A 14,919-nucleotide genomic window follows, 5' to 3' on the forward strand; every position below is an offset into this window, starting at 1 on the left:
TGAAAACTCCTTTGAAACATAAAGATATTTAATAGATACATCTGCAAATGAATCATGACAATTTGACACACGTGCAGTCCCTTAAGGCCAACTGCTTACATCCAGACTTTATCTTCTGTGTCAGTTTCTTGCACTTTGAGAGCAACTTACACCTGGAATAACTCCCATCCCATCACAGAGAAGCACCAGGAAGGCTGAGGGCTGGGCTCCTGGCTTCCTGGAAATCCAAGGGGCAAGTGTGCAGGGCACAGAAGGACCTTAAGTCTCCTGATCCCACACAGTGGAGTTGTCTATAAAGATGTGATATACTAAGAAAGATTCAACGCCACTTAATGTAGGCATCCTGCCAAGGACATCTAGCCTGAGTCCAGCCAGGAGGAAACATCGGGCAGACTTGAATTGAGAGATGTTCTATAAAGTAACTGACCCCTCCTCTTCAAAGAGGCCAAAGTCATACACAACAACAAAAAAGGCTGAGAAACTGTTCTAGCTTGCATAACAGCTAAACACAATATGTGACCTCAGATTCGATCCTGTACCAGAAAAAAAAAAATTGCTCTAAAGGATACTATTGGGGCAATTGCTGAAATTGGAATCTGGTGAGATGAAAGTACTGACTCAATGTCAAGTTTACTGAAATTGGTAACTCTACATGGTTATGTAAGAGAGTATGCAGCCTAGTCCCAAATGGTTCACAAAAATTAGAGAGAGAGAAAGAAAGAAAGAGGGAGAGAAAAAAGCAAATGCAGGAAAATGTTAAAAACCAGTGAATCTAAGTAAAGAGGGACCTGGAAGTCCCCTGTGTTGTTCTTGCAACGTTTCTGTAAATTTGAAATTACTTCAAAATGAAAGCTTTAAAAAAAACTGCCATATAACCCGGGGATTCTGAAATGCCAGCCTGCAGAACTCCCTGGAGAGCTTGTGAAAACTCAGATTGCTGGACCTCTCCCCAGAACTTCTGATTCAATAGGGCTGGAGGGGAAGAGCAAGAATGTGCATTTCTAACAAGCTTTGGGATGCTGCTGCTGCTGGTGATGGTGGTCTGGAACACACTTGGAGAACCCCCGGTAGAACCTGGTTTAAATTGTGGTTGTGATCACCAAAATAACTAGGCAGAAGGAGTTAAGCTGGTTGCTTCTGGGAAGCAGGATTGGGGAGGAATAGTGCAAGAGATCAGTGCTTTTCTTTAGGAACTGTTCTGTAGCATTTTGTTTATTTCCAGGTTTATATATTTCAATGCCTGCAAATCATCTACATCCTGCCTGGCATGTAGCAGGTGGTCAGTACCCATTAAAAAGCTGCTGGGGCCTGAGTTTCTAAAAGATGCCAGGCAACGTGGAACCTCCTGTGTCTGCTGAGTCCCCAGGGGAAGAGGAGATACCAGCACCGACCCCAGCTCATTTTGGGGGAACGAAGTCCTTTGGGTAACTCCAATAGGATATCTACTTTCCCCTTGGAATTGGCACCACTGAGTCCAGTCAAACCCAAACTGCTCAAAATATCTTCCAATTCTGAGACAAGACTGTGGTTCAGCCAGCAAACTTCTGTCAAGACACGAGCCTCTCCTCCCTCTCTTCTGGGGAGTAATGAACCTTGGCCTTAAGCCTCATTAAACCCCATTATATAATCACCCCCATCCTGAGTCTCTTTATAACCCTTCCAGCGGCCGCTTTCTTGGGAGTAGGCAGTTCTGCTCCATCAGTCTTTATTGCTACCTGCTGCCTTCCTCGACAAACCAGGCTTCTGACTCAGCCTCAAGGTACACGCAAGGCCAGGCTATCAAAAGAGGGGCAACTCTCTCTTAGCTTGTCCCCAGGACAAAGAGCAGGAGTTGCTTAGAGTAGGGATGAGCAGAGGGGCTGCCGTCTTTCAAGACACCTCATGAAGGACAATATTCCATAAGACCCAGGCCTTGTGGGTAACTCCAGCTGGTGTCATTACGACCAAGATGGGGAAGTTCTGGAACCATCAGTCACTTGTTCCCCTTGGTAACTGCTGCCCTGAAGCTGCTGCACCTGGTAGCTGTGTTCTCCCAACCCCAAGCCCCACCCAGAGTTTCCAAAACCAGCATTCTAAGTGAGTCATGGGCAGCTAATAAAGAAACACCCAGAAAACTGCAGGTGGCAAAATTACTATGTCATTCCTCATCTTCCACCAGAGATGTCCAGGATGAATGAGTCGCAGGAGCTTCCTGCAGCTTGCAATTTTGGCTACTTTCTGCAACTGCCTGGCCCCTACGGGGATGGCTACAACCTGGGACGACAGATCCCTAGAATAATAACAACAGAGTCTAGGTGGAGCAGCAAATGGTTAGTCAATGTGGGTGCTGCTTTCTAAGTGAGCACAGCACACTGACAAAGAGGCGTCCTTTGAGCAAGGCTGTCACCCACAACACACTCCCTCCGTGATGCAAGGGCATTGGAGAGAAAACGTGAGCATGTTCAGTTCCCTACCTAATGAGCAAGCAAGTTTTAATGAAGATGACATTGCAATTTCACAACCGAGCACTGCAGAGTGGAGGATTCAAAAGGATGGCAAACTTCACCTCTTTCCTGACCTTGTGACCTTGGGCCAACTGCTTAAACTCTCTCAACCCCAGTTTCTTAATCTGTAAAATGGGAATAATAGTAGTACCTACCTTATAGAGGATGATGGAGTTTAAATGAAATAATAAAAGTGAACTGCTTTGTGCAATGCCTGGAGCATTGTCAACACAATACATGCCGATTGCTATTATTAACATGGTTTTCATCATTGTTGCAAGCCACTTCATCATGTAACATACAGCAATGGCTCCCAAAGCCACCCTTTATTGAGACTCAGTGCTCTAAGTACCAGTCCCCACGCTAGGGAATTTACATGCATTTCTCATTGTATCCTCACTGCATTGTTGCTGGGTAGAAAATAGACTCAAGAGGTTAAGTAATTTGTCCAGCGACTTAACAGCATCCAGTTAGTTGCTTTAAACCCGAAGTCACTTCTACCAGCTGGTAATGAATGATGACAATTATTCCTTCCATCTAGGTGGCACTCTTTCATTGTGAAGTAGCCTTTCTTTAGGGGATTTAAGAAAGCCTGACCTCCATCAGCTGGGATCAGAGATAGCCTACAAGGAGCCCACGAGCTTGCAGGTTGTTGGGGTAAAGATGATCCACTGGTGAAGAGCACCTAAGCAAACCACCAGAGCATGGTGGCCCACCCAAATGCAACACAGAATAAATACAGCAAGGGTGGAGAGATAAGTCCACTGCTCTCTATTTCTCTGGGAAGCAGGTTCATTTGAGTCAATATCTCCCATGGTGAACAGAAGCGTCTGACGTCTTTCATTCTAGCCCTACCTGAGTGAGGCTATGAACCCCAAGGGCTGGTGAACCTTGGAGACAGATTCCTCCATGAGCGAAGGCTCCTGCCATTCCCCTCCCTCCCTTTCCCCACTCACCACTCCCAGGCCAGGGGAGTAGGGTAAGCCCCAAGAAGGTGATGTCCTTCTCGCAGCCCACTCAAGGTGGCTGGGCACCCTGAGGTTGTGAGGCTTGGCCACACTACAGCCAGATCTGCCTAATGCTGTCCCCAGGCGTTACCATCATGGGGTAACAAGATGACGTGTCACCACCCTTCACAGTGCAGACCAGAGCCAGAGCCGACAGTTACAAACAGGCAGACAGACTGAGCCTGGCAGGGATGCAGCCCCAGGGGCCCCCTTGGCTGGCTCAGCAGGAGGAAGGCTGCCACCAGGGCCCAAAAGCAGGGAGTTCTCTTCTGGAATTCACTGGCATGGGAATGGGAACTATTACAAACAAGGAGGAGTCGGCACCTGGTAGCTGTGTTCTCCCAACCCCAAGCCCCACCCAGAGTCCCCAAAACCAGCATTCTAATTGCATCAAAAGATTTGCCTAGGAAAACTCAGTGGCTAGACCTCAGAGTCACTGAAATGGACCCTCAGGGAGTGCATACCCCTGGGGAAACTGAGACCCAGATAGAGGAAGGAACTTGCCGCATTGAAGTGATACAATGCAGGCTAGATTGGATCTGGATTCAGAAGGGACCCCATGGACAAATTCATGCACCATTCTGAGCCTCAGTTTCTTGATCTGTAACATGGGAATTCTAGCACCTGCCTCACAGACTGGGGTGAGTCTTAACTGAAATAGTGCAGCTGACACACCAGGCAGAGACAGAGGCCACAAAGGCAACCGGCGGCAACACTGAGATTCCAACAGAGAGCTTCTCGTTTCCCAAACGAACCTGCCTGCCCCACACCAGGCTGCCTCTGTTTCTGTTACTTGTTAGAATCAACAGATAGGGAACTGGTCCCTGAGGTCTCAGCTATTTGGGTTACACACTCACTCATTCTTCCACTGAGACTCAAATGCTGTCTTTCTTCTTTCCGGGAGCTCAGAGAGCAACTTTTTTGAAGAACCAAGACTGTCCAAGGGGCAGTTGTGCTCCTGGTGCCTCTTACTGCTGGGAGCCACCTTTTAATTAAGGACTTTGCTCCTGTCCACAGGCAAGCAGAAACGCTTTTCCTCTTAGGTGGAGACCAGGGCGGGAACAAAAAGTTAGAAGCCATGATGAATCCTCAAAAACTCTTTGGTAGGGACGGGGGCTCAAATGTTTAAATCTGTGTTTTGTTGTCTTTTTTTTTAAAGCAGGAAGGAGATGTTTTTACTCTGGCCAAAATTAAAGTGCAGAGCAGTGGCCAACCCCTGGAGGGGGCCCGGCTGACATTCACTCATAGGATGGCGATGACCAAGGACAGATGGCTGTTAGAGGCAGTCACCCAGAGTCATGCCAAGGTAAATGCCAAGCACTCTTCGGGCCATGGGGAAGTGGGGAGGGGAAGTAAACTGCAAGGCATTTAGCCACAGAAGCCCCAAATTAACCATCAGCCCACAGGCTGTAAATGCTTCAAGAATAAAACATCATCATAAAAGCCACCATTTATTATGCACCTACTGTGTGCCAGGAACTGTGCAGAAGGCTTGGCATGCATGAGCTCATCTAATCCTCACAACTGTCTACAAGATGAACCTCTTATTGTCCCCATTTTACAGATGAGGAAACAGGTTCAGAGGCTTTGAACTCACTTGAGGTCACACATAATTGCTTAAAAGTAGAATAACTGGGGTTCAAACCCAGGCATCTGCTCCTGGTCGTGACATCTGCCTCACCTGGCTGTTGCTACACACTGGACTTGTCACTATCACGCTTTTCTTCATCCACGCTCATGCAGCCAGTCTCTTTGACTACCATGCAGGCCCACCGTCATGAAGGGTGCTCTCTCTGGCAGTGATTTCTCTGGACAAATTAATAAATTGGCCTTCTGGTATGGACCTGGGAGTCGAGGGTACTATTTTAGTTTGCTTGATTTAGAGCCTGCCTAACCTGGGCACCAAGACAAGGCAGTCTCTGGACCGACTCCTAACTGATGTCCACATGGTTCATCAGTCCATACCCTCAGCTGATTCCTACCACGGATGCACCATAAACACCCATGGGCTATAAACCAAGCTCACTATTCGGGCCCCAGCCTAACCATCTAGCGGGATGTTGGATATTACATGTACCTGCCTTTTTTTCCAGGCACAGAATTAATAGATCTTGTCAAATTCTCAAAGTGTAAGAACCCTTAGATAAAAGTAATGAAGGAAACCCCATATTTAGAGAAAGGCATTCTGCTGAGTATTTGAGCGGTCATGGTTATCAAATGATGTGTGATGTGTTAGAAAGAACCAAATTCAAATCCCAGCTCAAATACTCAACACCTGTGTGACTTTGAGCAAGTTCTTTGACATCCCTGGGCCTCAGTTTCCCCTTCTGTACAATGGGAATAATCCATCTGCATGAGGGATTGTTTGCAAGAACTAAATGGGGCCCTGCCTGTGAGTGATTAGCATGTATCAGGGCTCAGTGAACATGTCTCATCATTTCTCAGAGCAGCAACACAACGTGCACAGCCTGTGGCTGAATTAAGGGCCAGGGGTTATTTCTTCTACATTCTCAGAGCCCTTCCTTCTCTTGAGCAACCAATCAATAAAAGTTGCTGTCTTGGCTGGAGGACTGGCTGGGCTTTATTCAGTGGGGGTGCCCCTCTGACCACATCTGTGCCTGTTCAGCAAATCGGGCCTCTGGGTAGAGAAGATTAAACCAGCCCTCCATCACCAAAAAGTTCCATTTCCGCTCCAAGTAATAACCACCCTGTCTCCAGCAGAAATTCGTAAGAGCAGAAAGTAAACCACCTCAGGCCATGCTCAACCCCATTTGAACCCAAATACATCTTTGAGATGTAAAGGTTATATATATTGACCTGAGTGGGGAAAAAAATACAAAACTTAATCATAGATGCCTTAGCCACAGCAGCCAAGAAAAATCCTGTAATCAGGCAGCTGAGAGACAGCCGGGAAGAGGGAGAGAGAGGGCGGGTGCCTCCCTGAATGCCTGCTTGCTTTTCTCTATCTTTCCTTCACAACTTCAGGGGAAAGAGCAGGAACTGGGGACCAACGACAACACCCAGTCAACCTCCCCAGCGTCAGTTATGCCCCCTTCCAAAACCATCCAAATGGGCATGAGTGGCATAGGCAGATGGGGGGGCTGTGGGCAGATGATGGGTGAAGCTCTACAGTGAGCATTTCACAAGCCCTTGAGATAAAGAAGAGAGAGTTTGCACCTGGCACAGAGGACAGCAGGTGCTGGGGAGAAGGAGGTGGCATGGCAAGCGTTCCCAGTGCAGCCCGGCAGGGTGACTTACTTGCAGAGAAGTTGGCCTCAGTGTGAACAGGAGGGGTGGAAGGCAGGAAAGGTGCGTGTCCCACAAAGAAGGAGCGGAGGGAGCGCTCGGACAGCAGCGGGGAGCGCTGCTGAGAGGGGATGTTCTCGCAGCTGCCTACGCTGCTGTGGATCTTGAGGTTCAAGGGTTTGCTCTTCTTCTTGGCTCTGAAAGGGAGACAGAAAAAGAGGAAAAGGAAATATATCCATAGGTGCACAAAGTTACAGCAGGGAGGCCCAGCCTTGTGTTTCCCATGAGGGGTCCAAAACCCACAGGGAGAAATTAGAAGAGCCCACAGGCTTTTAGGTAGAGACACAAGGGCTGGGCAAAAAGGGTTTACCCTCTCACCCCTAGGTCCCTCTAAGAAGCTCATTCTACCATGGAGCACAAGCAAACACTTCAGCCATTCTTTTTTGCCCAGCTCCCTAGAGAAGCTCTAGAGAGCCAGTGTCAAGTTCAGCTTCCAACTCCAATCCCGCAACTTTTGCCTAAACATCTCGAGTCTCCAGAGCTCCAAGCCCCCAACCCGTGGCCAAGCTGCTCTTTGGCCATTTGACAAAAACAGCAAATCCCAGGCTGTCCTCAAGTGAGTCCAGATCTGTGTCAAGGTGGCATTCACCATCTACGTGTTTAATCCCCAAATCCACTGCCCTTCCTCCATGTAACAATAATCAGTGCATTTCTGTAGATGTTAAGCCTGATGACTTTCAAGAGATCTAAGTAGACTAAGCCTTCGGTAGGATCACAGTGCCTCTTCTGGAAATGCTTCCTCTTGCTGAGGACTTCTGGTGCCGGGCTCCTCCTTCCCAGCCCACCCACGGCTCTGTCTAGCTCTTGGTCCGGTGCCTACCAGGAGCCTCAGATGGTGCCCACCTTAGGAGTTCAGGAGGGAGGGTGCTCCACCAGATCATAGGCTGGATCTGATGGGGTGCCTCACAGCCTCACAGGCAGCTGCCAGAGATCAGAAGAGTGATATAGACAAGGGACCCTGGGTGCCCCCACCCTTCATCGCTGTGTCCACCATAGCAGCATTGCTGGAGAAGAGCAGGTGCAGCTTGCAGGAATTACACTATTCTGGGGCCAGACTCCCCAGATTCAAATAACTGGTCTCACCACCCCCGGGTGAGTCCATTAAACTTCTCAAGCCTCAGTTCTCTTGCCTACAAAAGAGTCCTTTGGAGAATTGTGGAGAGGATTTAAAAATGCCCGTAAGTGAATTAATACAAAGTATAAACATGAATTATCATTATTATATTATGGATATCTGTCTGATAGTTCCTTCAGAAGAAAGAATCTGCAGCTGAAACCAAGCAGAAGCTTCAGGAAAGTTTGGTTCTCCTCTTGGGGACTCTTCAAGACCCAGGAGATTGAATGGTATTCTTTGTACACTCTGTGCCCAGCAAAACGAGTCACATAGAGCAGGAATTTAAATATTTGTTGAATGATCTCTAAATGGTAAAAGGAAGGAAGGTAAAGAAGAGCTCTTCCAGGGACCCCTCAGCTCACAGCATTTGATCCATGGCCAGTTATAGATTCATTCAAGAGAAGAGAAAGGGGTGATGTCTAATCTCAATCCTACACACGGGCATTGGTCTCACCCCACCAGTGGGTGAGCATCTGCCTTCTGCCTACAACATGGTACATTCATGGCAACAATTGTGCAATAAAGCCAGGGACTGTCTCTTACACAGAATCATAAAGGTAAGGAAATGTATAGGTAACTCACTGAAACGGGTAATAGTATGATATTTAAACAATTAATTAATAGCAATGTGTTATGAGTGCAAGTATCCATCAGAGTTAAGCTTATGGCAAAATTTGATACTATCAAAAAAAGTGCAATGTATACTGAAGGCTGAGAATAACTACGCCCTCAAGAATGGATCTGTCACATCCTGGCCATTTCTTAGTATAGAGCTACCCTGTCCAATAACAGAGCTACTCGTCCACATGAGCACTTGAATTGTGGTGAGGCTTGACTGAAATAGGCTTAGAATGAAAAATAATAATAATGGACAATACCTAACAATATTTTTGTATGCATCAAATGTTGGGTTAAGTAAAATACATTGCTAAAATTAAAAAAAAAAAGAGGGCTGAGTGCAGTGTCTCATCTCTATAATCCCAGCACTTTCGGGGGCCAAGGTGGGAGAATAACTTGAGGCCAGGAGTTTGCAGCCAGCCTGGGCAACATAGCAAGACCCTGTCTCCATAGAAAATTAAAACATTAGCCGGGTTTGGAGGCATGTGCCTGCAGTCCCAGCTACTCAGGAGGCTGAGGTGGGAGGATCACTAGAGACCAGGAGTTTGAGGCTGTAGTGAGCTACGGTTGTACCACTGCACTCCAGCCTGGGTGACATAGTGAGACCCTGTCTCTAAAATAATAATAATGATAATAATAAAATTTAAAAATGATAAAGAAAGTGAGGGGCTTAGCAATTATTCACAGTCTGTTGCTGAAATAAAAAAAAATAGGGTATTTAAGATTCTTTTTGAATTGTTTCTTTTTTTTCTAGGCATCTTCCTTGCCAACAGATTATTAGGAGGCGAAATTATTCCATTTCCAACAGGCCCTCTCATACTGAGAAAGAGATAGAAAGGAGACACTAAAAACAAGGATTCCAGCAAGGTGCTGATTAAGCTTTGATCTGAAATGGAGAGAAAACAGCTCGGAAATTATAAGCATAAAACATGGACATTTAAAATTTTTCAACTTTATCAAACAGGAGGCTTCATCATAATAATAACAGCAACAACAGCCACTGTTACCACTGCTTTGATTTGAGTGCCAACCATGTCCTAGGGACTGTATCAAGTGCTTTTCATGTATGACCTCACTTAAGCGCCATGGTAACCTTAGGTGGGAGATGCTGTTATTATCTTCTCTCCAATGATGAGGACACCAAAGCAATGAGAAGATAAGGGATGTGGTGAAGGTGGTGCCAGCCCTGAAACCAGGCAGTACGGCACCAGGGTGCATCTCTCAACTGCACCCACACCAGACCCTGCATGTCAGTCCCAACCCTACATCATCACCCACCCCGAGGCCACTATCCTGAGAAGTTCGATTTGGGACATGCTCAGGTCAGAGGCACTGGGGTGGCCAAGAACTGAGCCCTAAATCTTCACTTTTGCTTCATCCACCTCTTTCTTGGAACCCTTTCACCAGAACCACCCAGAAACCCCACGCAGATATTTCCCTTTGCCCCCCTGTGTCTAGCACTGATCCCTTTTGCTCTGGAGTAACTAAATAGAAAAATGCTGTAATAGATGAAGGAGACAGGGCAGGGACCCAGGAGAGTCCCTGTTCAGTGGCCCCCACGGAACGGCAAAGCTGCCCCTCACAGAGTGTTTCTATCGTTTCTCTTCCTCCTCCACCTGGTGAACCCCTACACATACTCCATGGTCCAGTTCAAATGCTACCACGTGTATAATGCCCTCTCCTACCCACAGAGTCGGGGTAACTTATCATTCCCTCACCTCACTCTCTTAGAACCTGCTTTTCCATCACATGCTGGAAAAGACCCAATGTCCTTAACATGGTACCCAATATCTACCCACACACACACCTTGGTCTGGCCCTGGGGCCTTCTCACTCTTTGTATATGCTGTCTCCACCACCTGGAATACCCTCTGTTGCTTTGCCTGGCTAAACCCTACTTGTCTTTTATGACTTGGCTCTGATGTCCTCTCCTCCAGGAAGTCTTCCTTGATATCCTAATTCATTTCGGCATGGGTTGGGTGTTCTTCCTCCAGAAAGCATTCCCTAATACTCCCTCTTCCCTCCTAGACTGGGTTGGGTGTTCCTTCTCAGTTCTCTCTCTCTCGATTGATTGATCATTAGATAGATAGATAGATAGATAGACAGACAGACGGCAGAGAGACAGACAGATTGATGGCAACAGTTTCCTATTTTTTCAGATTTGCTGTCTTCCAAGTAGACTGTGGTCTTTGAGGGCAATGACTCTGTGCTGTTCATTTTCCTATCCTTGGCAACCAGCACAAAGCCTGGCACATAGTAGGTGCTCATTAAATGCTTACCAAATGACTGTTCTGGATTAAGACTCTGGCACACATCACATTCCCTTCTAATTCTTTGCCTTCCACACATGACTGTAGGCTCCTTGAGGTCAGGAACCATGTGGTTTACCCTGTTGGATCCTTCATCCCTTAGCTTAGTACTAGTTGAATGAAATGAAACTTTTCAGTGGGCTTGAAAACATTTCTTCCCTTCCCAAGGAGTGCGCTTAAGAGCGCTTGGTTCAAAGCTGCATCCAAAAGGAATCTCTCAGCTCCTCCCACCCACCTCCCCCAAACTCCCATCCTGCCTGCCCAGGAGTGGGGTGCCCTCTTGTGGCCAGAGCACAGCCTCCTTGCAGATTTTCAGAATCCTGGAAGGAGAGTTCAGAAAAGTCTATTGGTTTAAGCCTGGGGGCATCCCACACAAGCAGGTTAAAAGCCCCACTGTGAAGGAGGCCTGCTGCTCGCTGGCTTGAGGGAGTCTAAGCATGCCTGCAAAGTCCTTAGCGCCTGGAACGCCAACTCTGCTTATCTCCCCAGGGGCCCACGGCGAGGACCAGCAAGGAGCCTCCAGTTATAGCAGCACATACTGGCGGACTCTTTCCTGCCCATGGTCAGAGAAGAAAGGAAAGCAAGGCGGTGGGGGGAGGGGTGCCATTTCATCCCACGCAAATGCTCAATGTTCAAGATTCAAAGAAACATCCATACACGGACACAAATGACTGTTCCTAATGACTGTGACTGTGTACTTAAGATTTAGTGAATATTTTGCAGTATATCCCACAGATGCAGTGTAATTTAGTGGTTAAACTCATAGGCTTTGGGGTCAGAGAGACTGGGACTTAAGTCCTGATTGTGACCTTGAGAAAGTGATCTCGGTTTCCTCATCTGGGCAATGGGGAGAATACTAACACCAATCTCAGAAGGCTATTGTGAGAATTCTATGAGATAACAAGCTTGGCAGGGGACCCAGCACAGAGTGAGGGTTCAGGTGATGTCACCTGCTATTAAAGTCACTATGACCAGGTCAAATCAGATGTCTGTATAGCTATAGAAGTAGACTTGAAGAAGCCAACATTGAAGCCAAGCTGCAATTTTCACCCGAAATATCCAACAAACTTTTTTTTTTTTGAGACTGAGTCTTGCTCTGTCACCCAGGCTGGAGTGCAGTGGTACGATCTCGGCCCACCACAACCTCTGCCTCCAGGGTTCAAGGGATTCTCCTGCCTCAGCCTCCCAAGTAGCTGGGACTATGGGCGTGTGCCACCATGCCCGGCTAATTTTTGTGTTTTTAATAGAGACGGGGTTTCACTATGTTGGCCAGACTGGTCTTGAACTCCTGACCTTGTGATCTGCCCATCTTGGCCTCGGCCTCCCAAAGTGCTGGGATTACAGGCGTGGGCCACTGCGCCTGGTGATATCCAACAAACTTTCAATCCACCATGGCCCTTAGTGAGTGAAGAGGACACAGCAAAACCCTCTGGTGATAGATAACCACGGTCATCTCCAAAACCCTGACAGGAGCCTTGAGGCACTGAGCTAAGTGACAAGACCAGATCCTCTGGCAAGAAGAACCAAGTCTGACCCAGCACAAGTTTAGCAGGAGCTCAATGACCTCAGAGTCAATCTGTTTTACCAACCATGGCCACAGATGGAGGGGAGAAGGGGTATATCTAAATAAGGGTTAGTTGGACAGAAGGATAGATGAAAAGATGGATGGATAAAAGAATGGAAAGAAGGAAGGAAGGGTGAAAAATTGGAAGGATGGAATTGATGAAGGACAGAGAGGATGGGAGGATGGGAACACAGATAAAAGGAAGGGAGGATGGGGGAGGAAGATGAAAGAATTAAAGGATAAATGGATGGAATAAAAGTGAGAATGGGAAGACAGAAGAACGGATAAAGGAATGGAGAAGAATGGGAGAATGGAAGGATGGACAGATGGAAAGAGGAAGGAAGGATGGAAAAGGGAAGAATGGTGGGATGAAAAGATGGAGAGAAAGAAGGGCAGAAGAGAGAATGGGAGTAAAAGAAAACGAGAGAATACATGGCTATTTGATTAGAGTAGGGTGGAAAGAAATCCCATATTGCTTCCTACCCATCAAGGAAGCCTTCATGGACAAGATGTGGGATTCACCTTTCCATCCACCCTCATTACCAAGGCATGGTCAGGGGGAAAAAACAGACACAAATGACTGTTTCTAATGACTGTGACTGTGTACTTAAGATTTAGTGAATATTTTGCAATATATCTCACAGATGCAATTAAAAAGAACATTCTTTCCCGTGATCTTTGTAGGATATTAGATATCTGTCACACAGATGTCTCATCTGGAAATAAGGCCAATTCAGAGAAAATCAACAAAATTAGGTGGCACAAAACATTAGAAAGGGAAGCCAAATCCTCTGGGGCTATATCAGCCCTGGGTGTACCATGGTGCTTTCTGGATGGGCCAGCAAGTCAGGGCTCCCTGACAAGGTAAGCTGTGCAGAGGGGCTGGGCTAAGCCAAGGCTGCACATCTGTGTTAGGGAAAGACACTCAGCTCCAGGCCATCACCTATGCTTAGGAAAATGCATGTTTCCCAAGTACAGCAAAGGACTCTTCCAGTGTTGGAATCTGGGAAAACTCTTCCCACTTTTCTGATGCCCAATTTACATACAGTATCAAAACTAAAAGGATCCCGAGAAATCTTACATTGTCTTTGAATGAGTTCATTACTCTCCATCTCTAGCCCCAATGTTCTGGTCCAAGCCACCACCTTCTTCTCACCTGGGCTGCCGCTGCCTCCTCGCTGGAATCGCAGACTCACTTGCATTTGGTTCCATTTTTGCTTTTTTGTTATACTAAAGTGAAATTCACAGAACGTAAAATTCACCATTTTAAATTGAATAACTCTGTAGCATTAAGTTCATTCATATTGGAAGATCACAACCTCTATCTAGTTCCAAATGCTCACCACTTCAAAAGGAAATCCCTTACGCATTAGTCACTCCCATTTCCCCTTTCCTCCAGCCCCTGCACCACCAATCAGCTTTCTCGCTCTATGGATTTGCCTATTCTGGACATTGCATATAAATGGAATCCTACAAGATGTGGCCTTTTGTGTCTGGCTTCTTCACTCAGTACAATGTTTTTGAGGGTCATCCATGTTCTAGCATGGATCACCACTAAATGACTTTTTATGGTTGAGTAATTGGATCCCACTTTGGATTCTTTACAATGTATTCTCTACCCAGCAGTCAAAGGCAGGCTTTAAAAAGTATACATTGTATCATGTCACTCCTCTTCTTAAAACCCCACAAAGGTTTCCAGTTGTTCTCTCTTCTTGTGGTCTATAAAAGCTTCCTAGGACCCTCCACACCTACCCTCCAACTTCTTGTGTCATCTTGGACTCTAGCTGTTCGGGTCATCTTTCTGGTCCTTGACCACACTAAATTCTCTACCTCAGGGCCTTTGCACATGCTGTTCCTGCTGCCTGGGACATTATTCCCCATTGTGCTTGTTAGTGGTATCATACTCATCATTAAGGTACCACTTCCTCAGAGATGCCATCCTTAACTCCCAAACCAGTCAGATCTCCTGGTTACACCTGCTCCCAGCACCACCTGCTTTCCTTCTTAGAATGCATCCCAGCTGGAATTCTGCATTTACTTATGTGGTTACCAGAGGAATGTCTGTCTCCCCTAGGGCCCATGCCCATCACACAAAAAGGGCCTGTATCCTCACCATCTAGCATAAGACAGGGACCCAGAAGCTGGGTCTACAGATGCTCACCCTAGCCCATGTATCCCACCTCAAGCAAGGACTATGTGACATCTTCTATTTGTGGGGAATTCTAAAGGAAAGTGACCCAGTCTCCATCTGCAAATCAGGAGGGCTGGTTTAGCAGCATCTTCCCAGTTAATTCCCAAGTAAGGGCTCTTCAAGGACAGAAATACAATTTCTTTTTCTTTCTGACAATTTCTTTTGTCAGCCCCCGGCCACCCTTGGCCTAGGTCTGGCAGGTGGTTGCACATTCAGCAAACTGAATCGATACCCTTTTGCCAGCCCACCTCTCCCAGCTTTCATCACAGAGATCGTCAAGGGAAGCCCCAAACTGATGTTTAGTCTTTGCACCATTTCCTCTTCCCA

The 14,919-nt window shown here is 46.8% G+C and overlaps 1 protein-coding gene across 7 annotated transcripts in view; it reads right to left on the reverse strand.

The window, feature by feature from the left end:
* Window positions 1-14,919, reverse strand: part of KSR2 (kinase suppressor of ras 2) — a 515,979-nt gene that overhangs the window by 207,714 nt on the left and 293,346 nt on the right. For all 7 annotated transcript variants that reach the window (XM_011538224.4, NM_173598.6, XM_011538225.4 and 4 more), the window contains exon 5: window positions 6,749-6,933. In XM_011538224.4, the coding sequence (XP_011536526.1) occupies window positions 6,749-6,933 (185 nt within the window). The remainder of the gene's footprint in view (window positions 1-6,748; window positions 6,934-14,919) is intronic.

The sequence above is a fragment of the Homo sapiens genome, chromosome 12 (assembly GCF_000001405.40).
Source record: "Homo sapiens chromosome 12, GRCh38.p14 Primary Assembly".
Classification (NCBI taxonomy): Eukaryota; Metazoa; Chordata; class Mammalia; order Primates; family Hominidae; genus Homo; species Homo sapiens.